Source organism: Homo sapiens, chromosome 14 (genome assembly GCF_000001405.40).
Source record: "Homo sapiens chromosome 14, GRCh38.p14 Primary Assembly".
In the NCBI taxonomy this organism is placed as follows: Eukaryota; Metazoa; Chordata; class Mammalia; order Primates; family Hominidae; genus Homo; species Homo sapiens.
This window is the reverse complement of record NC_000014.9, coordinates 103,383,044-103,406,918: the sequence shown is the minus strand read 5'-3', so window position 1 is coordinate 103,406,918 and position 23,875 is coordinate 103,383,044. Positions and strand designations below refer to the sequence as shown.

The window sequence follows — 23,875 nt, the reverse complement described above, 5'->3', positions numbered from 1 at the left end:
GAGCTTGCAGTGAGCCGAGATTGCACCACTGCACTCCAGCCTGGGTGACAGAGTGAGACTCTGCCTCATAAAAAAAACAAAAACAAAAACAAAACAAAAAACTCCCAAACACCTAATATATGTTTCATGTTCTTTTGAGAAAGCTTAATTAGGCTGGGCGTGGTGGCTCATGCCTATAATCCCAGCTACTCAGGAGGCTGAGGCAGGAGAATGGCTTGAACCCAGAAGGCGGAGCTTGCAGTGAGCCGAGATTGCACCACTGCACTCCAGCCTGGGTGACAGAGTGAGACTCTGCCTCAGAAAAAAAACAAAAACAAAAACAAAACAAAAAACTCCCAGACACCTAATATATGTTTCATGTTCTTTTGAGAAAGCTTAATTAGGCTGGGCGTGGTGGCTCATGCCTATAATCCCAGCACTTTGGGAGGCTGAGGCGGGCAGATCACCTGAGGTCAGGAGTTTGAAACCAGCCTGACTAACATGGTGAAACCCCACCTCTACTAAAAATACAAAAAAAAAAAAAATAATTAGCCAGGCGTGGTGGTGTGCGCCTGTAATCTCAGCTACTCAGGAGGCTGAGGCAAGAGAAACGCTTGAACCTGGGAGGCGGAGGTTGCAGAGAGCCGAGACCATGCCACTTCACTCCAGGCCTGGGCTACAGGGCAAGACTCCGTCCCAACCCCCGACACCCCCCTAACCCCCCAAAAAAGAAAAAGCTTAATTAGTGAGGCATGGTGGCTCATGCCTGTAATCCCAACACTCTGGGAGGTTGAGGCAGGAGGACTGCTTGAACACAGGAGTTCAAGACCAGCCTGGGCAACACGGTGAGAACCCTGTCTCTACAAAAAAATTTTTTAAACATTAGCCGGGTGTGGCAGTGCATGCCTGTAGTCTCAGCTACTCGAGAGGCTGAGGTGGGAGAACTGCCTGACCCCAGGAGGTTGAGGCTATAGTGAGCCATGATTGAGCCACTGCACTCCAGCTCGGGTGACAGGGCAAGGCCCTGTCTTGAAAATAAAATAGGTTGGGCACGGTGGCTCATGCCTGTAATCCCAGCACTTTGGGAGGCCAAGGCAGGTGGATCACGAGGTCAGGAGTTCGAGACCAGCCTGACCAACATGGTGAAACCCCGTCTCTACAAAAATACAAAAATACAAAAAAAAAAAAAAATTAGCGTGGTGTGGTGGTGTGCGCCTGTAATCCCAGCTATGTATTACAAATTTATATTATGTGGTTAGAACTTGACATGTAATACATGTAATACATAGTAGCTATATATTACAGGCGCTATGGCTCACGCCTGTAATCCCAGCACTTTGGGAGGCCGAGACGGGCGGATCACAAGGTCAGGAGATCGAGACCATCCTGGCTAACACGGTGAAACCCTGTCTCTACAAAAAATTAGCTGGGTGTGGTGGCGGGCACCTGTACTGCCAGCTACTCGGGAGGCTGAGGCAGGAGAATGGTGTGAACCCGGGAGGCAGAGTTTGCAGTGAGCTGAGATCATGCCACTGCACTCCAGCCTGGGTGACAGAGCGAGACTCCATCTTAAAAAAAAGAAATAAGGCCTATATCTATATTCTTTTCTTTCTCTTACATGGAAATAAACAGAGCAACTGTCATAACAGAAATAAGCATAACTGGTATTTACCTCTCTGCCTGTAAGGATATGTCTTGCCAATTTTACTTTTGCAAAATTCCCCTTGCCGATTGTTTTCAACAGTCTGTAGTTTCCGATGTGAGGTTGTTCATCTGCACAGGAGGCTATAGAGTTTCTACACCGAGCTCCTGAGCGGCTGGTACGAGAGGTAACTTCTTGACGCCCATCTCCATGTGACGTGTGCTGCAATACAGCATACACAAAGATAAGGAAATGAGAGAACACAGAGTACTTGCCAAGTTCTAAGAGCTTCTAATTGAAGAAAAAACATTCCTACTTTAATTTTAATCTTAAAGTATCTAGCACTTCAAAGGAATTTAACCACATAATATAAATTTGAGGAAAATAAAAATTCTGAGACGAAAAATACGAAGTGTTGAAGTTCAATTGAGTGTTCAGGAAGAAATTAGATATTTTGCATACGTGGCTGTCATATAAAATAGGAGTAAAAGGGCTACCTTCTGGTTATACAGTGCTTAACTTTTCCATATGTTAGTAAGTGCACCTGCACACCTGAGCCTCACTACAGCCCGTGCAGCAGGGGAAAAGCTAATGTCACCATTCACTAGATAAGGATACAGCCACATAACTGTTCAGGGGGAAATCCATAGAGAATCTGGATTCCCGATTTCCTTCTATACTACACTGCTAACAGTAATTCAAAACAATGTGCTTTACAGAAACAGCTAGACTGTGTGGCCCTTAATAGACGACCCTTGTTGTATAGATGAATAAAGTACTCAATATGCTTACTTAATAAAGTACTCAATATGTCTCTACCCTATGAAATATTCAGGCCCAAGAATTACACTTCTGTGTACACACTGTGTACATGGCTGTATGCGCAGGCATCCTGCTACTACTGCTCCCTTGGCCCCCACACACACTCAAAGGATTAGATGTCCCAATCCTTTCCCCATTGTGGCTGTTAACTCCTGCCCAAGGGAGGCTTCTCATTCCACATGCACTCACAGCCACTTTCCACCCCCTTTACACGTTTCTCTTTTCCAACTTTCTGTCCAGGAAAATGTCCTGTCTTTCTCTATATACCTATAAATCAAAACAAGCCTGATTTAACTAATAAACTGCTTTGTAATTTACTCAAATCAAAGGAAATGAAACTCAGGTGTTTTAAAGTGAAAGTAAGCTTTAAAACTTGCGCCATCTACCTCTGAATTTCTCAAAAGATGTCCTTTTCAGAATTTCCTCATTAGTCTCCATCTACTTCTTCATTATTTCTCTAATATTTTCACATTCACATACCAGGTTAGGGGATAGGCTCTTGTCTGTTTTACTCAGTTATCACATAATATGGCATCTCAACAACAATTTCTGTTTTTATTGCAAATGTCTATTTTAGATTAAACAGGCTTTTTATGACCTCACTGCAAATCTAGGCAACTTGTAAACATTGTTCCTCTAACAAAAATGATTCTGATTTCCATATTAGAACTTTGGGAAAATAGACCATTTATAAATATGGAGTTGATAAAAGACTAAAATGATAATAAAGCTTTGACACTAAGGCTTTAATACAAAAACAGGTAGATTTTGTTGTGCACAAGATGCATGCTGTTGTAATGCAAATTATTACATCAACTGCAGTCTAGTTTTAAAAGAAGCTGGGTGATCATGTTTATGTTTATTTCTACATGATTTTAATTACACTAGAATTTAAGTTTCATGAAAACAGTAACAGGAATTTATTATTCCTTATATCTTAGAACAGCAGTTGGTACAAAACTGCTACTCAATAAATATTAGAATGGCTGAATAAATGATATAAATGCTAACCACTATAGTGTTCAGAAGGTTAAAAATAAGGGAAATTTCTCTTTTTTATCTTCTGAATTTCTTCATTCATTCATTGAATATTTACTGAGTTACACACACACACACACACACACACACACACACACACACACACACACAACCAGGCACTATTTAAGGTGTGGTAAAAAGCAGCGCATAAAGCAGTCCATATCCCCATGAGGTATGTATCAAGTGGTTTTACTATCTGTGCAATGAAAACATATTCACTGAATTTATACTACTGGCCAAAATTTTTGTTAAAAAAGCTTTTTGCAATGTAAACATGTATTTTCAAATTTACATGTTTCATAAATTCAACCTTCATGTGTGAAAGCTGATCATACTAATTGGGTCATCCTATTCGTACTCAACTAAATCAGAGCTGAGGGGCAGGGATGGGGTGGGGGGCCAGGGGAGGGGGAGGGATGTAACATTGCTCCAAGATTATAATTCTCTGTAAGCCTGGCTGCTGAAACTGCCTATTGTAACCTGAAACCAGTTTATCTAATGGCTACTGAAACAACTTGTTGCTGACTCTAAGACCAGTATTACCCACCACTGTCACTCACCAATCAGGGCTTGCCACCTCCCCAAAACTTTACTAGTGCCAATGACCTGTCTTTCAAAATATGTAACACTTCTCTTTATAAAACCTCCATCCTTTACTTTGTTCTTCATACATACTGAAGACCACCCTGTGGTCTGTGTGCCCCAAATTGCAATTCTTGCGTCCCAAATAACATATTTTAACTTCAGAGATTCATCTCTACGTTTTATTTGACTTCAATATGTGTTTTCTATAATGAGGCAGTCAAATTGATGAAATAATAATTTTCATGCAAACCAACTGCCTTCTATTTAATGTAAAATAGAAATCTTAGAAAAATCCTTTTTTTTTTTGAGATGGAGTCTCACTCTGTCAGCTGGAGTGCAGTGGCGCAATCTCAGCTCACTGCAACCTCCGCCTCCCAGGTTGAAGCAATTCTCCTGCCTCAGCCTCATGAGTAGCTGGGACTCAGGTGCGCGCCACCATACCCGGCTAATTTTTGTATTTTTAGTAGAGACAGGGTTTCACTATGTTGGCCAGGCTAGTCTCGAACTCCTGACCTTAAGTGATCTACCCACCTCAGCCTCCCAAAGTGCTGGGATTACAGGCATGAGCCACCGCGCTCGGCCAGGAAAATCTTAAGATTCACAGGCATCCAATGTTCCTATCTTTGCTTACTCACCAGTGTGCTTATAATAAAATACTAACTCCTTAGCGCTTCTTCCACTAGCATGTAACCTTCACAAGGACAGGCTTTTTGTGTTTTGTTCATTATCAGATATTCCCCAAACCTGAAACAGTGCCTAACACATGGTAGACATGCAATACATTTTTGCTGAATGTTAAACGAATTCAAGGCCCGCTCATCTCTTCTTCCTCTCCCACGACATCAGCCAGTAGACTCTAGCTTTGAGTCTAGCTCTGACTCAGTCAGTGTTGTTCCCTTAGTTTGAATGTCCTTTCTTCTCTTCAAATCTAAGAAAAACCTGCTCATTCTACTGAGTTTGTATCATCTGTCACCATCTTCATGAACCCTTCTAAGGCTCTCCCTGCATCTCATCAGAATTTCTTACTTCTCCTTACTGGGATCCTAGAGTACTTTGCTTGTATCTAACTCTATTATGCTACTTTTTTTTGTAGACAATACTATATCCATCATACTGGCTTTTTTACATCTGAGTTCCTGGAGGACTGCACTCCCTTCCCTTGAGGTTAGGCATAGACAGCCATGTGACTAAGCTGAACACATCCTGTGAGTGAAAATGAATGCCATTCCCATGCTGAAGCATTTAGTTGCCTGTGCTTAACTCTCCAGCCCTGTGTTTTGCTCTCCTGACCCTAAGCACTGCCCTAAAACGGACGGCCACAAGACCAAACTGGCCTGGACATGGAGATCAGTTTCCACGGAGCCAATGAGCCCTCAAGCAGACTTGGTGTGAGCAGAAGTTTTTTATTGTGTTAAATCATGAGGATGTTGGTGGTATGTATTACCACAGCATAACACAGCCTAACCTAAAACACGCTCATGCAAATCAACAATCATAATAGAAAGCAGAAAGAAACTTGTATTTCCTCATACAGCAGACTGAAAGATCTGATGCTTGTTAGGGTTAAACTCAATATATTTAATTCGATGTTTCTTGACGAAGTCCTTAAATTAAAAAATTTAAGAATTAACTTTTTAAAAGTTCCCTTAAAACAGAAGCAAATTAAATTGTCTTTTGCTTCCATTTGCCCTTCATTTTATTTTCCCAAGAATCCATCACCGACCCTAAGAAAAAGTTCCCTATTCCTATGCCACAGCACTCAGTACCAACATTAAACATTTAAACAAATAATTATGAGTTCTTGTACTGTTAATCAATTATTTCATACACGTATTTTTTTCTTCCTAAGGAGCCAATAAACAACCTGCATACACACACACACACACACACACACACACACACACACACAAAATGTTATATAATTCTTTGATAACTTTTTTTTTTTTTTTTTTTTGAGACAGGGTCTCGTTCTGTTGCCCAGGCTGGAGTACAGTAGTGTGATCGATCATACCTCACTGCAGCCTCGAACTCCTGGACTCAAGGGATCATCCCACCTCAGCCTCCTTAGTAGCTGGTACTACAGGTGCGTACACCACACATGGCTGATGTTTTAATTTTTTGTAGAGATAGGATCTCACTATGTTGCCCAGGCTGATCTCAAACTCTGGCCTCAAGCAATCCTCCTGTCTTATTCTCCCAAAGTGCTGATATTACAGGTGTAAGCCACCATACCTGGACTACTTTATAATATTTCATGGCAGACTATGCACATAATGGGTACTCAAAAGCTGCTGAGTTTAATTCTTATGGATTAAATGAGTCCTGATTCTTCTCCCTCCTGTGGAACTAAGCTGGTACCACTTCATCCACCATGAAAACTAGAATATGTAACTGCTACTGAAAAATGCTGAATACAGCCAAAGACATGAGATTTCCTTCTTCAAGAAGTTGAACACGTGTTTAGGGAGACCACATTGGCCAAATACTTGTTTTCCCAAACTTCTCTGCAGCTAGAGATAGCCATCTGGCTTAGTTCTGGCCAGTTCTCATTAGTTAAAGTCTACTAGGTGGCAATGTAGTAGGGGGTAGGGGTTGGTAATGCCTTTGTTTATCATAAAAGGGGAGGCCGGGCACTGTGGCTCACACCTGTAATCCCAGCACTTTGGGAGGCCAAGGCTAGCAGATCACCTGAGGTCAGGAGTTTGAGACCTGCCTGGCCAACATGGTGAAACCCCATCTCTACTAAAAGTACAAAAATTAGCCAGGCATGGTGGCACATGCCTGTAATCCCAGCTACTCAGAAGACTGAGGCATGAGAATCGCTTGAACAAGGGAGGCGACAGTTGCAGTGAGCTGAGATTCCGCCACTGCACTCCAGCCTGAGTGACAGAAACTTCATCTCAAAAAAAAAAAAGGAGGGTGGGGGGGTAAGGACAGAGTTGCCAGTACAGTTCCTTCCTCCTTCCTTGAATGCAACCATGTAGCTGTAACTGTAAAACATTATCCTGTAGCTACAGGGTCTCAAACATGACAGAAAAGACAAAACTACCTTAAAATACCACCAACTCCAATATTACTGAACTGCTGATCCAAAGCTAGACGCTGCATACCTCCAAATTCCTTTCTTTTTTTTTTTTTTCTTTTTTTTTTTTTGAGATGGAGTCTCACTCTGTTGCCCCAGGCTGGAGTGCAGTGGCGCCATCTCGATTCACTGCAAGCTCCGCCTCCCGGGTTCACGCCATTCTCTGGCCTCAGCCTCCCGAGTAGCTGGGACTACAGGTACCCGCCACCGTGCCCGGCTAATTTTTTTCGTATTTTTAGTAGAGACGAGGTTTCACCGTGGTCTCGATCTCCTGACCTCGTGATCCACCCGCCTTGGCCTCCCAAAGTGCTGGGATTACAGGTGTGAGCCACCGCACCCTACCCCAAATTTCTTTTTGGAGAAAAACAAACCCCCTATTTGTTTAGGGCACTGTGTTAGGTCTTTGTGACGTTCAGCCAAAGCACTACTGACATAGGGGCCATATCAACTCAAAGCAATAAGAAAAATGGGAATGTGCTCCATTTTGTTTTACATATTAGTTCTTAATTTTGCCCACATATAAAAGAAGCATGAATTGTAAATCACTGTATAATCAGAAGACAAATTAAAACATTTCTTAGACACATTTAAAAAATCTTTTAAAAAAATCCTTGCCGGCAGGAAGTCCGTAAAAAATTTTTTTAACATCAATATGGTTCCAGAATAGTTTTGCCCTTGTATCTACCAGGCAGAGAACCAACCTGAAATCTGAGAGGCCTACTTACGTACCTCCCACATGAGAAGAATCAGGTTTACAAGTTTAAAACAGCAACAACTTTACACTATGTTTCAAATCTTCCTGAACAGAACTTGATCCCTTCTGTAAAACAAAAGAAGTGTGCCCTTACATGCATTCTATTCCTTAAATCACAAGCCACTTACTTAACACATAGGTATGGTTTCCAAATGTTAAAAAACAAAAACAAAAACAAACTACAAAGCCAAGTTGTGACAATAAATGGCTGTCCTCCAAGTATTTTGTACTTTAGAAATATTCACAAAGTCACGTTTCACTTTTGAAAGCAGCTAGGCAATTATTTCATTCAACATAGAAAAAGGATTTGATAAGATTGAACAATTTATAATTTAAAAACTCTTGGCCAGGCATGGTGACTCATGCTTGTAATCCCAGCACCTTCAGAGGCTGAGGCAAGAGGCTTGCTTAAACCCGGAAGTTTGAGACCCGCCTGGGCAAACATAGCAAGACCCTGTCTCTACCAAAAAGCCCCCACAAAATTCCTATAGCAAACTAGGATTAGAATGGGATGTCTGTCCTTGATTTGATAAAAATCACCAACCCCCGCAAAAAACAAGAATGCACCCAAAGCCAAGGAATGTATAAAGAGATTCTAAAAATCAGAGAGAAATACAAGTTAAAACCACAATGTAGTATCACCTTAGGCCTGTTAGATAGGGAAAAGGCAGAAAGCTCTGAAATGTTGGCAGAGAAACGGGAATACAAAAACTGTGGTGCACTATTGATGGAAGCAGCCATCTAGAAGAACAATCTGACATTTCCTGTGACCCATCAAGTCCATTCCAAGCTATATATCCCAAAGAAACTCTTACATTGCTCCATAAGGGGACATGCATGAAGATGTTGAAGCATTTTTTTTGTGGTGACAGAGTTGGAGAAAATTAACATGTGCACCTCTGGCGAGCAGACTGGTAAAATGTGGTAGATGCATACATCTCACTGCTATTCAGCAGTTAGATGCAATATATTAAGCGCACAGATAAGACATATGTAATATTTACATAAAGTACCAAACATACCAAAATAAACTATGTAAGAACACATACACATACTAAACACATTAAAACAGTAACGTGGGGTGGAGGGTAAGAGTAATGACATATGGAGACTAACAGGAGTAGATAAAACAAGAAGATAGTCTCACATGGATCAAAGATAATGTGACTCTTCACAGCTGAATTTATGAGAAAGCATCTAAGAATATGAATAGGAAGGGGGAACTGTTATTGTCCCATAAATATAGTAAAATCTGTTTCACTTTTGAATAAAATAATTGTTACTGGTATAGTAGGTGAACTAATGTAATACGGTGAAAAATAATTTACTTGTCTAATCCTTAGAATAAAAAACTTGTAAGGCACAAGTTGTGGCTAAAAAAATCTTGATTCAGGCCAGGTGCGGTAGCTCACGCCTGTAATCCCAGCACTTTAGGAGGCTGAGGCAGGAGGATCACAAGGTCAGGAGTTCGAGACCAGCCTGGCCAATATGGTGAAACCCCATCTCTACTAAAAATAAAAAAATTAGCCAGGCATGGTGGCGGGTGCCTGTAGTCCCAGCTACTCAGAAGGCTGAGGCAGGAGAATCGTTTGAACCTGGGAGGCGGAGGTTGCGGTGAGCCGAGATCGCACCACTGCACTCCAGTCTGGGTGACAGAGTGAGACTTCATCTCAAAAAAAAAAAAAAAAAATGTTTATTCAGTAACTTTCGGCTAGTCAACTATATGGTAGGCATTAGCAGGGAATAAAAGAAACAGAAAAGTGTGGTGTCAAACCTTCAAGGCACTCATGATATACACGGGGTGCTAACGGGGGAATAGCAACTGAAACAAGGGGCAATTCCTGCCCCAAGAGAAAATCAGAGTGAATACTCTAATGCTGTCCAATAGGTGTATAATGTGACATACATATGTAATTTTCAATTTTCTAGTAGCTCCATTAAAAAATGTAAAAAGAAACATATTTAATACGTTAAATTAAATACCATTTTATTTAACTCAATATACCCCCCAATATTTCAATGCATAATATAAAAAGGCTTTATATCCTATTTTTGAAATACTGTCTTTGAACTGGTTTATCTTTTATACTTACAGAACACCTAAATTCAAACTAACCACGTTTCAAGTGCTTGGTAGCCCCACATGTGGCTAGTTGCTACTGTGCTGGATAATGCAGCTCTAGGCACCCAAAGGACATGATCACATTTGGGTGAGATGAAGGAAAAAAGGTACCCCAAGATGTGAAGGGATGGAGTCCTCAAAGGGCAAGTAGGAGAGTTCTTATGAGAGATGAAGGACATCTCAGGCCAGGCACCACCCAAGAAGAGGTAACAAAGCTTGGGTGAAAAGGGGAAACGCTACTCTACTACAACAACCCACCATTAGCCAAATTTACCGCCAATTTTTCAAGAAGCCTATCAATCTTAGTTTGTTATTTATAATAACAAGTACTAGCTAAATTTTAAAGACATGTATTGACATATGTAAACACCTAATCCAAGTCTGGTTATAAATCATGGCTGCATTTACTTCCCCTCCCTCTCCAAACTCCATTAATATGAAAGTAAAGGAAAAAAATATAAGGCATAAGGAAAAAAGCCACAAGACAAAGAAAATAAAAGTGGTAACAGATATACTTTCAGAAACTAAAAAAAGAAGGAAAATGACTTAACACATATAAGAAAGATTAATCCTAAGCCAGCTATGGAGATATTGGAAAATCCTGATTTGTATTATAGAACTCTCAAAAGGTTCAGGAACTGGTAGTACAAGTACCTCTAGAAGTGTGAGTGAAGTAAGCCTGAAACAAGAAGATCTATCAGTCTGTTAAATAACAGACCCCCGGGTCTCCTCTCCCACTCAGGCAAAAAACTGGAGGTTCTTTAGAAAGGGCAAAATGGAAAGTCTCTGGGCTTGGGGACACAGGGCACAACTGAGGGCAGGGACACTGAAAACAAGCAGAGAAAGCAGAAAGCCACAGATCTTTCCTTCTGCCCTCTCCCGACTCAGCTCCCTGGAACATGGGCATTCCGTGCTTGCCTAGGCCAAGTGATAAGACTAAATATATTGGTATCAAGAGCACCACAAAGAAATAACAGTGTGTCCCACTGTTGTATTCAAGATCCATCCAAATGCACAAAACTTCCAATCAGCCTTAAACAAACAGAAAAATAAGCAAGACTCAAAATAGCATTCTCTCTCTCCAAATCGGAGTGTCAGATGCTATATAAGACAGAAAACAAAATTCTGAGGAAAAAGGGCATTCAGTCTAGAATTCTATATGCAGCCAAAATATCAATCAAGTATGAGAACAGAATAAAGATGTTTGCAGATATGAAAGGATTTTAAAAATTTACCTCTGAGCAACTTTCTCAGAAAATCACTGGAGGAACTGCTGCAATGAAACCTGGGAGTGAACCAAGGGGAAGAAAATGGATCGAACAGGAAAGGCAAAGGGAATCCCTAGGATATGGGTGAAGGGAGATCTCAGGATGACAACTATGCAGCAGAACAGACAGACAGAACACAAGGCCAGCCTGACAGAGATGAAAGTGACTGAATGCCTGATGAATCTGGCCACAGAGGAAATTGAGAAAGTGAAGTCATAAAAATCTAAGTAAACAAACAAAAAAACCAAGACACAACTTGAATGATGTTATTCTCTTTTGATTTAAAAAAAAAAAAACCATGAGGCACAGCCGAGTGAATTTGTCCACAGTTAAATCTCAAGACTAGTTTCAAATTCCAGTCTATAACTCTAAATTCTAATTTCTCCTTTTATATGTTGTTCCTTCTTTTTTGCTCCATCTTATGAGGTCCATTCTACCTCTTCAGAATCTTTATCTCGATCAGTCTTAGACTCTCATTTTTGTCTTCCACTTTCAAGCCCAGACTCTTTCCATCACACATCCCTTCAGGAAAGTAGTGTAAGATTGTGGCCAGGCGCTGTGGCTCATGCCTATAATCCTAGCACTTTGGGAGGCCGAGGCAGGTGGATCACTTGAGGTCAGGAGTTCAAGACCAGCCTGGCCATGGTGAAACCCCGTTTCTACTAAAAATACAAAAATTAGCCAGGCGTGGTGGCGGGTGCCTGTAATCCCAGCTACTCGGGAGGCTGAGGCAGGACAATCACTTGAACCCAGGAGGCAGAGGTTGCAGTGAGCCAAGATCATGCCACTGCACTCCAGCCTGGGCAACAGAGCAAGACTCCATCACAAAAAAAGAAAAAAGACTAGAGTTATGTAAAATTCTATGAACAAAACCTGTGAATTCAACTTCTCTGATTTTATATTAAATTCTACCAATACAGATTTTTGTGTCAAATGTCCATACACAAACCCCACAATATTTAGGTCCAACAAAAAGCAAATGCCTGTCAACAAGAAATACAGAAAAAACACCTGCTTTGTTTGAGCTTCAACACTGAACTTCAAGGTCCCACATAACCCACAGAAACAATGTCTTATCTAGTGCACACAGAAGTACACAAGACCAACCATAGTTGAGCAGCTTGAGTGGCTAGAGTGTAGTGCTAGCGAACTCTCGGCTGAAGACAAAATTGGATGCCCCTCCCACCTCCAAAAAAAGGCCTTTTCTTTCAAAGCCAACTTCTGCCCTTCCAATTGTTCTGTACAAGCAGGTGCAGACGGGTGAGTACAAATTCCTTATTACTTTTGCAGACCAACTCCAAGCACAACCTTTAACTTCTTGTGTGAGACAGGACATTAAAGCTTCCCAGGTAAGAGATTTATTTTCTCCTTCATGTTTAATTTGAAATTTGAAAATGGATATGAGACAAATGAATTTTCTGCTTTAGTCCTCCCAGTGGTGATCAGAGGGTACTGCATTCCCTGACTCCTTTTTCTTTTTTAACCAAAGCCACAAGTCACGGAATATTCCCTGACTCTTACTAGGAATTTGTTCCAGCCCAGGAAAAAATTCCAGGCATAAAATTTGGCTATATCTTAGAATAATAAAATGCAGGCCGAGCGCAGTGGCTCAAGCCTGTAATCCCAGCACTTTGGGAGGCCAAGGCAGGCGGATAACCCAAGGTGAGGAGTTTGAGACCAGCCTGGCTAACATGGTGAAACCCCATCCCTACTAAAAATACAAAAAATTAGCTGGGCATGGTGGTGTGTGCCTGTAACCCCAGCTACTTAGGCTGGCAGGCGGAGGTTGCAGTGAGCCAAGGTCACGAGATTGCACTCCAGCCTGGCAACAAGAGTGAAACTCTGTCTCAAAAAAAAAAAAAAAGTAATAAAATGCAGAACAATCCTCTTTGCAATCAAATAGTTAATATTAATTTTTATTAGACTGTATAAGCCTCTATGTAATTACAATGTAAATCATGCACCATGTAAGTCTAAATAGTTATACAATGTATATATCATGAGCTACATAACTTAAATGACCAAAATTCTATTTACTGCAAATTTCAACCTTTACCTCATTTACATACATAAGATAAGGATGCTCAAATTGAAGTCTATAAGATCTTTCCCTGAAAACTGACTAAATATTTTCATGAATTCTTCAGAGATCAACTTTTTTTTTTCTTTCTTAAGATACATAGTTTCACCATGTTGTCCAGGTCGACTGGAACTCCTGGCCTCAAGTGATCCTCTGGCCTTAGCCTCCTGAGTAGCTGAAACTATAGGCCAACTTTTTTCTGATAAGGCCCAAACAGCTTGATTCAACAGGTTGTGCTTAGAAGTTGACAAGCTGATTAAGCCGGGGCACAGTGGCTCACGCCTGTAATTCCAGCACTTTGGGAGGCCGAGGAGGGAAGTGGGAGGATCATGAGGTCAGGAGTTCCAGATCAGCCTGCCAACATGGTGAAACCCAGTCTCTACCGAAAATACAAAAAAATCAGCTGGGCATGGTAACAGGCACCTGTAATCCCAGCTACTCGGGAGGCTGAGGCAGAATTGCTTGAAGCCAGGAGGCGGAGGTTGCAGTGAGCCAAGATCATGCCACTGCACTCCAGCCCGGGCAACAAGAGTGAAACTCTGTCTCAAAAAATAAAATAAAATTTAAAAATTAGCTGGGTGTGGTGGCGGCTGCCTGTAATCCTAGCTACCTGGGAGGCTGAGGCAGGAGAATCGCTTGAACCCGGGAGGCGGAGGTTGCAGCGAGCGAGATCGTGCCACTGCACTCCAGCCCAGGTAACAGTGTGAGACTCCGCCTCAGGAAATTTAAAAAAAAAAAAAGCTAATTAAATAAAACCATATTACATATTTTAAATGAGATACTCTACAAAGTATTGCTGGCTGGTATACAGTTAAGTGATCACCAAATGGCAACTATTGTTATTTTCCAGAACCACAATTTTTAATAAACAGTTTTTTTTAAACTCATGGAACCTGAAAACTCAATTAAATGGTCTGGAAATCTTCCTTTGATAGTCACAGTACAATCTAAAAGGAGTATAGTTTAGTTAGCAAGCCTTCACTGCACACTAAGGCAGTGATTTTTTTTTCTTAATAAATAAACATCAGAAATTCCTGCTATAGTGATTCTTAAGAGTGGTCCCCGGACCTGGAGCATCAACATCACCTGGCAACTTGTTAGAAATTCCAATTCTACGGGTAAAATCAAGGTCTAGGGGTAGGGCCCAGTGATCACGGTTCTAAAGCCCTTCAGGTGATTCTAATGTTTGCTTAAGTTTGAGAGTTACAGACTAGTTTCATAAAGCTCAGGCTGCTTTGTCCTGCAAGGAGCAGGAAATCCTAAAGAGCAGGAAAGCTATGTGTCCCAGGTATATGGCCTCTACAGCACCTAGCACAGTATCATACACACGGTAGGCATTCACACTTGCTGAATAGGTTAATTCAGTCTCACATAACCGATGACTGACTAGACAACAGCATCATCAGTTTCACAGAGGTCAGAAATTTGGGGGACTATTTGCATTAACTAATAATAAGTACATGATGCACACATATCAGTAACTGTTAAATAACTGGGAAAGCCCTGGGCCTCTGGTACTTTGGCCAATAACATTACCAGGCTTACGAAGTGTCATATCCTTTGAAATTCAGGTGAAAAATATGTTTCTCATTTTGCCAGTATAGAAAAAGGATGTATCCGTGGCTCCATATAACTATAGAACATAAACTGAAATGCAAACTGTTTGGTTGCCTTTAAAAAGCATATTTTGACCAGGTACAGTGGCTCACGCCTGTAATCCCAGCACTTTGGGAGGCCAAGGCGGGCGGATCACCTGAGGTCAGGAGTTTGAGAACAGCCTGGCCAACATGGCGAAACCCCATCTCTACTAAAAAAAAAAAAAAAAAAAAAAAAAAAATAGCCAGGCATGGTGGCGGGAGCCTGTAATCCCAGCTACTCGGGAGGCTGCGCACGACAATCGCTTGAACCCGGGCGGCAGAGGTTGGCAGTGAGCCGAGATTGCACCACTGCACTCCAACCTGGGCGACAGAGCAAGACTCCATCTCAATTAAAAAAAAAAAAAAAGCATATTTGACATATCAGCCAACTATAATGTATGAATTCAAGCTGGATTCTAATTTGAACAGTTTAAAAATTAGAAATGTGAGAAAATTTAAATACTGCATATTTGATATTAAGAAAATATGATAAAAGTATTGCTTTTTTCTTAAAACAGGCTTTATCTCTTCTAAAAGCTTTAGAGAGGAAATGATACTGCATTTGCTTCTTCATTTATAAATGAAATAAGATTGGCCACTGAGCTGCGCTGTTGAGTACATGGGGGGCTAAGTACATACCAGGGTTTCTCAACGCTGGCACTACTGACATTTTAGGCCGGGTAATTCTTTGCTGTGGAAGGCTGTCCTACGTACTGTAAAATGTTTAGTAGCATTCCTGGTCAGCCAAACCTTTCTCCAGCTGTGATAACCAAAGATGTCTTTAGACATTGTCAAATGTCCACTAGAGGGCAAAATCACCCTGTGGCTGAGAAGCATTGATAAATAACATTCTATTTTTTTAAATTTTCCTATAATAAAATATTTTAAAAAATAGTTTTGACTGAGTGTGGTGGCTCACACCTGTAATTCCAGTGCTTTGGGAGGCTGGGACAGGAGGCCTGCTTGAGCCCAGGAGTTAGAGACCACCTTGGGCAATACAGGGAGATCTCATCTCTACGAAAAAATTAAAAATTAGCCATGCATGTGGTGGGGCACGCCTGTAGTCCCAGCTACTCAGGAGGCTGAGTCGGAAGGATTGCTTGAGCCCAAGAGGTCAAGGTTACAGCAAGCTGTGATTGCTCCACTGCACTCCAGCCTGGGTGACAGAGCGAGATACTGTCTCAAAATCAAAATAAAATCTACAGCAAGCTTGTCCAACCCACAGCCCTAGGGCTGCATGCAGCCCACCACAGCTTTGAAAGTGACCCAACACAAATTCATAAACTTTGTTAAAACACTGTGAGATTTTTTTTGCAGTTTTTTTAAAGCTTATCAGCTATTGTTAGTGTTAGTGTATTTTATCTGTGGCCCAAGACAATTCTTCCAATGTGGCCCGGGGAAGCCAAAAGATTGGACACCCCTGATCTACAAGCTTAAAAAAAAGTTTTAGAAATACTCTATGTACAGGTACAACTACATCTCCTTGTGGAGCCTAAGCTAGAGATCTGGGGCCCAGTAGAGGCTTTGCTACTAAATAGTTAGTGGTCTTCTGTCATTACTAGCAGCCTTTGTCACCTCTCTGAGTCTCAGCAACCTCACTGGATCAGATTGAGTAGTTCTTTTGAGCTATAACACGATGCAGCAACAGTGAACTTTTTTTTTGAGATGGAGTCTCACTCTGTCGCCCAGGCTGGAGTGCAGTGGCGCCATCTTGGCTCACTGCAAGCTCCGCCTCCCGGGATCACGCCATTCTCCTGCCTCAGCCTCCCGAGTAGCTGGGACTACAGGCACCTGCCACCACGCCCGGCTAATTTTTTATATTTTTGGTAGACACAGGGTTTCACCGTGTTAGCCAGGATGGTCTCGATCTCCTGACCTCGTGATCTGCCCGCCTCGGCCTCCCAGAGTGCTGGGATTACAGGTGTGAGCCACCGCGCCCGGCCTTTTTTTTTTTTTTTTTTTTTTTGAGACGGAGTATCCCTCTGTCGCCCAGGCTGGAGGGCAATGGCTTGATCTCAGCTCACTGCACTCTCCGTCTCCAGGGTTCAAGCGATTCTCCAGCCTCAGCCTCCCAAGTAGCTGGGATTACAGGTGCCCGCCACCGCACCCGGCTAATTTTTGTATTTTTAGTAGAGACAGGGTTTTGCCATCTTGGTCAGGCTGGTCTCGAACTCCTGACCTCAGGTGATCCACCTGCCCCGGCCTCCCAAAGTGCTGGGATTACAGGCGTGAGCCACTGCACCTGGCCAACAGTAAACTTTTATATACCCATTCACTAAGGGTGGACATTAATATTTGGAAATCAAACAAACAAAAACAAATTAGTGTACAAGGATGAAGATAATGTTGCAAGTTGTCTGCTTTTTTTTTTTTTTTTTTTTGGAGACAGAGTCTTACTCTGTCACTCAGGCTGCAGTGCAGTGGCATGATATCGGCTCACTGCAACCTTCACCTCTTGTGTTCAAGTGATTCTCCCACGTCAGCCTCCTGAGTAGCTGGAATTACAGGCATGCACCACCGCACCTGGCTAATTTTTTTTTTTTTTTGAGATGGAGTCTGGCTCTGTCGCCCAGGCTGGAATGTGGTGGCCCAATCTCGGCTCACTGCAAGCTCTGCCTCCCAGGTTCATGCCATTCTCCTGCCTCAGCCTCCCGAGTAGCTAGGACTACAGGTGCCTGCCACCACGCCCGGCTAATTTTTCGTATTTTTAGTAGAGACAGGGTTTCACCATGTTAGCCAGGATGGTCTCGATCTCCTGACCTCGTGATCCGCCAGCCTCAGCCTCTCAAAGTGCTGGGATTACAGGTATGAGCCACCACACCCGGCCTGCCTTTTCTTAGTCTTGATCTAATAAGCGACATTCTTATCACAGTTATATACAATTACTTAAAATTTAAATAAGATTCCTGGGGTAAGCACAATAAAAAGTATTTTTACAGAATACTAAAAGAAAACTGTTCTAGTCACAATAGCCAAAAATGTCCATCACTGGTGAGTGGATTAAAAAAAATTGTGGCACATCCAAACAAGGAAATACTTACTCAGCAATAAAAAGGAATGAACTACTGATACTGATACACATTCAAATAAATCTCAAAAGCACTACTCTAAGTGAAAGAAGACACAAAAGATTATTTACACTGTGACTCCATTTACATAGCATCCTAGAAAAGGCAAAACTACAGGGACAGAAAGCAGATCAGTGGTTACCCAGGGGCTAAGAAAGGGAGAGGGCACTGACTATACAGGGCCATAAGGGACCTTTCTGGCAATGGAAGTGTTCTACATCTTGATTGTGATAGCGGTTACATAACTATACGCTTGTCAAAATTCACCAAACTGTATACTTAAAACAGATGAACATTACATCTCAACAAACCTAACTTTAAGAAAAAAGGTTCTCAACAGAATGAGAGCTCCCATTCATTCTTGTACATTCACCACTCAATTGGCAGGAAGTCTAATACTTAGCAGTGCAGTAATGTAGGTAATTAATATGGACTATACCTGAGTTATAACACTGACACAAGGGCTCCACACTGTGAAAGCTACACAGCTCCTTCCAGAACATGCCAATGCAAGAGTTAAAAATGTAACAGGGCATGGTAAATTAATGCAACGATGTGTGATAAACTTGATTTTTAAAAAAAGTCAAAAATTCATTTTAAATACACTACATGGCTGGGCGTGGTGGCTCACGCCTGTAATCCCAGCACTTTGGGAGGCTGACGCGGGAGGATCACCTGAAGTCGGGAGTTTGAGACCAGCACGACCAACATGGAGAAACCCCGTCTCTACTAAAAATACAAAATTAGCCGGGAGTGGTGGCACATGCCTGTAATCCTGGCTACTCAGGAGGCTGAGGCAGGAGAATCACTTGAACCCGGGAGGCGGAGGTTGCAGTGAGCCGAGATCATGCCACGGCACTCCAGCCTGGGAGACAGAGCCAGACTCCATCTCAAAAAAGAAAGAAAGAAAAAAGACCCATTTGAAATCCTTCATTATCACAAATCTGCTATGACTGTTTTTGGCTTCAGTTTAGAAAGCATGGAGCTCCTACTCTGGTTCAATGTAAGGTTTTGCTTCTCTGAGTGAAGATCAATGATCAAAACTAATCAGTTGGGCACACTGGCTCATGCCTGTAATCTCAGCACTTTGGGGAGCCGAGGCGGGTGGATCACATGAGGCCAGGAGTTCTAGACCAGCCTGGCCAACATGGTGAAACCCTGTCTCTACTAAAAATACAAAAATTAGCCGGGCGTGGTGGTGCACGCCAGTAATCCCAGCTACTCGGGAGGCTGAGGCATGATAATCACTTCAGCCTGGGAGGTGGAGGCTGCAGTGAGCCAAGATCGCACCACTGCACTCCAGCCTGGGAGACAGTCTCGGTCTGTCTCAAAAAATAAATAAGTAAATAAATAAATAAATAAACAAATAAATAAGGTTTCTTTAAAAGGACTATAAGGAAATTAGTTCCCTGACTCACCTAGTCTAAGAGTTTCTATTACTCACTCTTTATATAATTTTCTAATCTATCTCAGGTGGAGAAAGGTACATCACTGTTCTACTTACTCAGGGCCACAGAGCATTAAATATTGTATACTAATATGCTACAGGGATGCTTTAGGCTATGGTTTACGTTTACGGATTAAATTATCAAACAGCTATCCAGCAAACAAGCGGCATTTTTGAAGATCAAAATGAAAGCATTAACTCCACTAGGCCACAACATCTCAGGACATTACTGAAAGCATGAAAACACTCAAAGCAAGGAAGCATTCCCTAAGAGAAGACATTTCGTGCCAGCAATTACCTCATAACACTTTTAATGAAAGGCCAGTGAAGTTTCTTTACAAATTATTTACTAGATGTTTTACAGAATATAGTCAACAACTAGATTGAAACACTTTTGAACCCAGTGTTAGAGGAGAACAGAGTTAGAAAACGAACAGAGTCAAACGTTTCTTCAATGGAATTTCTACTACAAGTTCTCATTCTCTAGCAATGCTGTTCCTGGCATTTTGTAGTTTCACATGAACAAAATCAAAGGTTCCTTTTATAAAACCATAGCCTGTGAGCGCTGAAAGGGACCTAAGAGCTCATCTAAGCCAATCTCTTTTTAGGAAGGAGGACAGCGAAGCCCCCAGCGGGTGTCCCTCAGCTAGGCAGTGAGTGGCAGAGCAGAGCTTCACTATACATCTGCTTTTCAAAATGTTTAACCAACTCCTTCAAAAAAGATTTGTATGGAAAGGAAACTGCCTTAATAAAGGCTGCGCGCTAGTGTTTTGGAATTCCTAAGGGGACCGCAAAGATCCCTCAGTGGACACTTAGTGACTGTGATTAAATTTAGTTCCAGACCATCTTAAAGAACGAGACCGCCCACTTGACCCAATCGATTACTCTTAATCAGCACCGGTAACATATGTTATTAATGTGACAGTCTCTCAAGAACTGCCTGACCAAGTTAAAAGCAGAGTTCGGCTAAAATAAGCACTGACCACTGCAGTGATCTGACACACACGTTTGCACAATCCATTGCGCGGCAACCTGGCCTCTCAAAGCACCGATCCGTAACGCTGCAACTCCTGGGCTTTATTAACCGACTAGACTGCCGGCATAATCGATGTACTTCGCAGACCCGCCCGCGAACAGCGGGACACGGCAGACTTCTGGAGGAAACGGTCCGACCTGGCTGCCTCCTGGGTGACTACGGCCTGCCCTCTATTTCCAGAGCGTTCGGCTGGGGGGAACACCCGACTGCAAGGCACTGCCCGAGGAGCACGAATGCCACCCCGAAGGTCCGCCAACTACAACGCCCAGGTTACTTACGTTTTCAGTGTCTCGTTCATTCACCGTTGGCAATGGGGTCCTAGTGGACATTTTACTGCACTTTAATTCTGCACAATGCGAGGGTCAAAACAAAACAGCACAGCCCTAGGAGGCCGGCGACCAGCGTCCTCGAGTCCACGGCAGTTCCGAAAAGGCGCCGTGGGGAGGGCGGCTCCCTTCCCCCTACGGCCGTCTAGATCCCGGGCCTGGCCCGGGCCGTCCCCCGGCGGGTCCCGGGGCTCATTCTCTCCCTGCCTCGGCGGCCGAGGCGAGGAGACCGGGAGGGCGGCAGTGGCGGAGCCGAGCCTGCGGGCGGCGGGCTGCGCTTCGGCCCGCCGGCGTCCCCTTGCCTCAGGGCGCCCCGCGATCCTGGGCCCCCTCACCTCCTTCTCCACTCCCTCCCGTCGCACCGCGAATTTCAGCTCGCGGGCCTCCACACAGCGCCGCCGGCGGCGCCTGAAAACGAGGAGGCGGAGGAGGATGTGAAGGAAGTGGAGCGCAAGACAGGCCGCCGCGGGCTGTGGGCGCCGACCATGGAGCGGGCTGCGGAGGAGGCGCCTGCGCCCGACTGCTTCTCCCTCTCTAGCGAGCTTGCTGCCTCAGCCTCCGCCCTGCTGGCCGCCGCTGCCGCCGCCGCACCCCGGCACCTCAGAGCCTCACGGAGCCAAGATGGCCGCCCCTCGGCTTCCTCTGCTGCCTCCGGCTGCCGGAAGTGACGACAGGCCGCCACCCGGAGTCCCGCCAATCAGCATGGCCTGAGAAAGCCGGCCCGGCTGTTGTTGCTAGGGGCGACTTGGTCCAGACCTCGCCGCGGGGGCGGTGCAGAGGGCTGGATAGTGCTGGTCGGGTCTCCGCTGACTCCCGCGGGCTGCGGGTTCCTCCTGTCCCGAGCGCGCCGGCAACCGCGAAAGAGCCGAGAAACGGCTCTGGGCGACAGCCAGAGCCCTCCCGCTGAGTTGGCATTTACACACTACAGGCCTGGGTTGGCTGGATTACAGATCGAGAGCCTATTGTGCGCAAAAGTTGCGGTTGCATCCCTGGGACTGCGCTGCACCGAATGGAGCCCCAGCATTAATTAATGACAGGGCCGGGGCTACGGGAAGGCGCCGGGCTCTTGCATCCTTAACTGTGACCCGGGAGTCAGGTTCTCGCCAACAAACCTTCCCGTCTCCGGATCTGAGCAGCTGCGGGCTGGGCGCGGACCCTGAGGGCAGCAGGCGCCTCTTGCCCTCAAGGAGCTGGTGGTCAGACGGGTGACAGACCCGGACCCAGCTAAATGCCATCCGGATGGAAGAGTGCAATAACGAGGGTGGCACAAAGGGGATGGGTTTGGGGGCGAAATGAATCTGTAGAGGACCCCAGGGACCAGCTTCCAAATGCCTGTAGGGGGTTTATAAGCAGGCTTTTCTTACAGTCAGTGCGTTGCTGCTGGAAGACTGGAAGCATCTCTGGGTGCCAGCCTCGGGCCAGGCTCGGTAGATGCCTGCAGGCTGGAACACTGGAAATGCTACCTGACCTGGAAGCCTTCCTTGCCCATTCACCTCTTCACGTGCTCGGTGCCTCTACTCAGCTCCTGGCCAGCGGTGGATGGAATCCATGGGTGCAGGGTCCGAAGAGGGAGAGTAGTGTGAGATGGGGGTGACACGAACTGTTACCGAGAGTCGAGTCTACCTTGTGGGTTCATGACATTTGTTACCTCATTTAGCCTCAGGGTAACCCTATGAGATGGGCAGACACACATGCGATCCGAAGTCTAGACAGGTACAGTGACTTGGCTAAAGTACACAGGTTGGTTAGCGACAGAGCTGGGATTCTAACCTAGCTCCCAAAGCTTGGATAATAGGTAAGCCCTTGTAGTGGGGGGCTATGTCATGCTTGCTTTCCCTTTGGTCCGTTGGCATCCCAACTCTCTTGCTATGTTTGAGACATTTCTTGCTCCACGAAATATATGTTTGTTGTTGTTGTTGTTGTTGTTGTTGTTTTGGGACGGAGTTTCGCTCTGTCGCCCAGGCTGGAGTGCAGTGGCGCGATCTCCACTCACTGCAAGCTCCACCTCCCGGGTTCACGCCATTCTCCTGCCTCAGCCTCCCGAGTAGCTGGGACTGCAGGTGCCCACCACCATGCCTGGCTAATTTTTTTTGTATTTTTAGTAGAGATGCGGTTTCACCGTCTTAGCCAGGATGGTCTCGATCTCCTGACCTTGTGATCTGCCCGTCTCGGCCTCCCAAAGTGCTGGGATTACAGGCGTGAGCCACTGCGCTCGGCCAAATATATGTATCTTTAAACGCCAGATTCACTCCCAGAGAGGCCAGAGGCTCCCAATGTTAAAACACCTGAGGACTAAGGTAACACTCAGGGCTCCCATCTAACCCTCAGAGAGGAGTGGTCAGGGGGCCAAGAGTGGTTCTATTTAAAATGTGAATAGGGGCCGGGCGCGGTGGTTCACGCCTGTAATCCTAACACTTTGGGAGGCCGAGGTGGGCGGATTGCCTGAGCTCAGGAGTTTCAGACCAGCCTGGCCAACATGGTGAAACCCCATCTCTGCTAAAATACAAAAAATTAACCAAGCACGGTGGTGTGTGCCTGTAGTCCCAGCTACTAAGGAGGCTGAGGTGAGAGAATCTCTTGAACCTGGGAGGCAGAGTTGAAGTGAGCGAAGATCAGCCCACTGCACTCCAGCCTGAGCAACAGAGCAAGACTGCGTCTCAAAAAACAAAATAAAGTAAAATAAAATGTGAATAGGGAGACGGCATGCACATCTGTAATCCCAGCTACTTGGGGGCCTGAGGTGGGAGGGTCACTTGAGCCCAGGAGTTGGAGACCAGCCTGGGCAACAGAGTGAGACCTTGTCTCTACAAAAACTTAAAAAAAAAAAAAAGGCAGAAGGATGATGCCCACTGCACTCCTGCCTGGGAGACAGAGCAAGAACATGCCTCAGAAATAAATAAATAAGTAAATAAATAAATAAAGTTATTCTCTTTCTCCTTCTGGCCAAGAGGAGTTAGTGGAATTCCATTAGTTAAATGTGTGCTTCACA

At 44.2% G+C, this 23,875-nt stretch overlaps 1 protein-coding gene across 32 annotated transcripts in view, besides 8 other annotated features; it reads right to left on the bottom strand.

The window, feature by feature from the left end:
- Positions 1 to 21,504, bottom strand: part of MARK3 (microtubule affinity regulating kinase 3) — a 118,417-nt gene extending 96,913 nt beyond the window's left edge. For 17 of the 32 annotated variants that reach the window (NM_001128918.3, XM_005267641.6, NM_001128919.3 and 14 more), the window contains exons 1-2: positions 20,839 to 21,504; positions 1,652 to 1,843 (exon numbers count right to left, since the gene is read on the bottom strand). In NM_001128918.3, the coding sequence (NP_001122390.2) occupies positions 1,652 to 1,843; positions 20,839 to 20,889 (243 nt within the window). In that variant the 5' untranslated portion in view covers positions 20,890 to 21,504. Of the gene's footprint in view, positions 1 to 1,651; positions 1,844 to 7,877; positions 8,092 to 20,838 lie in introns of those variants that run through there. The other 15 variants (NM_001438023.1, NM_001411056.1, XM_017021295.3 and 12 more) reach the window with 5 other exon arrangements.
- Positions 3,909 to 4,008: a silencer, noted in NCBI's record as "silent region_6153". NCBI's record gives its function as "represses an Ori minimal core promoter by ATAC-STARR-seq in GM12878 lymphoblastoid cells {active_cell/tissue: GM12878}" and the evidence as "EXISTENCE:reporter gene assay evidence [ECO:0000049][PMID:35858748]".
- Positions 5,530 to 5,649: a silencer, noted in NCBI's record as "silent region_6152". NCBI's record gives its function as "represses an Ori minimal core promoter by ATAC-STARR-seq in GM12878 lymphoblastoid cells {active_cell/tissue: GM12878}" and the evidence as "EXISTENCE:reporter gene assay evidence [ECO:0000049][PMID:35858748]".
- Positions 6,370 to 7,169: an enhancer, noted in NCBI's record as "H3K4me1 hESC enhancer chr14:103866087-103866886 (GRCh37/hg19 assembly coordinates)". NCBI's record gives its function as "activates a minimal SCP1, AML or CMV promoter by ChIP-STARR-seq in naive H9 embryonic stem cells {active_cell/tissue: H9 hESC(naive)}" and the evidence as "EXISTENCE:reporter gene assay evidence [ECO:0000049][PMID:30033119]".
- Positions 20,568 to 20,757: an enhancer, noted in NCBI's record as "active region_9102". NCBI's record gives its function as "activates an Ori minimal core promoter by ATAC-STARR-seq in GM12878 lymphoblastoid cells {active_cell/tissue: GM12878}" and the evidence as "EXISTENCE:reporter gene assay evidence [ECO:0000049][PMID:35858748]".
- Positions 20,568 to 21,687: a biological region, named in NCBI's record as "H3K27ac-H3K4me1 hESC enhancer GRCh37_chr14:103851569-103852558".
- Positions 20,698 to 21,687: an enhancer, noted in NCBI's record as "H3K27ac-H3K4me1 hESC enhancer chr14:103851569-103852558 (GRCh37/hg19 assembly coordinates)". NCBI's record gives its function as "activates a minimal SCP1, AML or CMV promoter by ChIP-STARR-seq in naive H9 embryonic stem cells {active_cell/tissue: H9 hESC(naive)}" and the evidence as "EXISTENCE:reporter gene assay evidence [ECO:0000049][PMID:30033119]".
- Positions 21,038 to 21,227: a silencer, noted in NCBI's record as "silent region_6151". NCBI's record gives its function as "represses an Ori minimal core promoter by ATAC-STARR-seq in GM12878 lymphoblastoid cells {active_cell/tissue: GM12878}" and the evidence as "EXISTENCE:reporter gene assay evidence [ECO:0000049][PMID:35858748]".
- Positions 21,688 to 22,679: an enhancer, noted in NCBI's record as "H3K27ac-H3K4me1 hESC enhancer chr14:103850577-103851568 (GRCh37/hg19 assembly coordinates)". NCBI's record gives its function as "activates a minimal SCP1, AML or CMV promoter by ChIP-STARR-seq in naive H9 embryonic stem cells {active_cell/tissue: H9 hESC(naive)}" and the evidence as "EXISTENCE:reporter gene assay evidence [ECO:0000049][PMID:30033119]".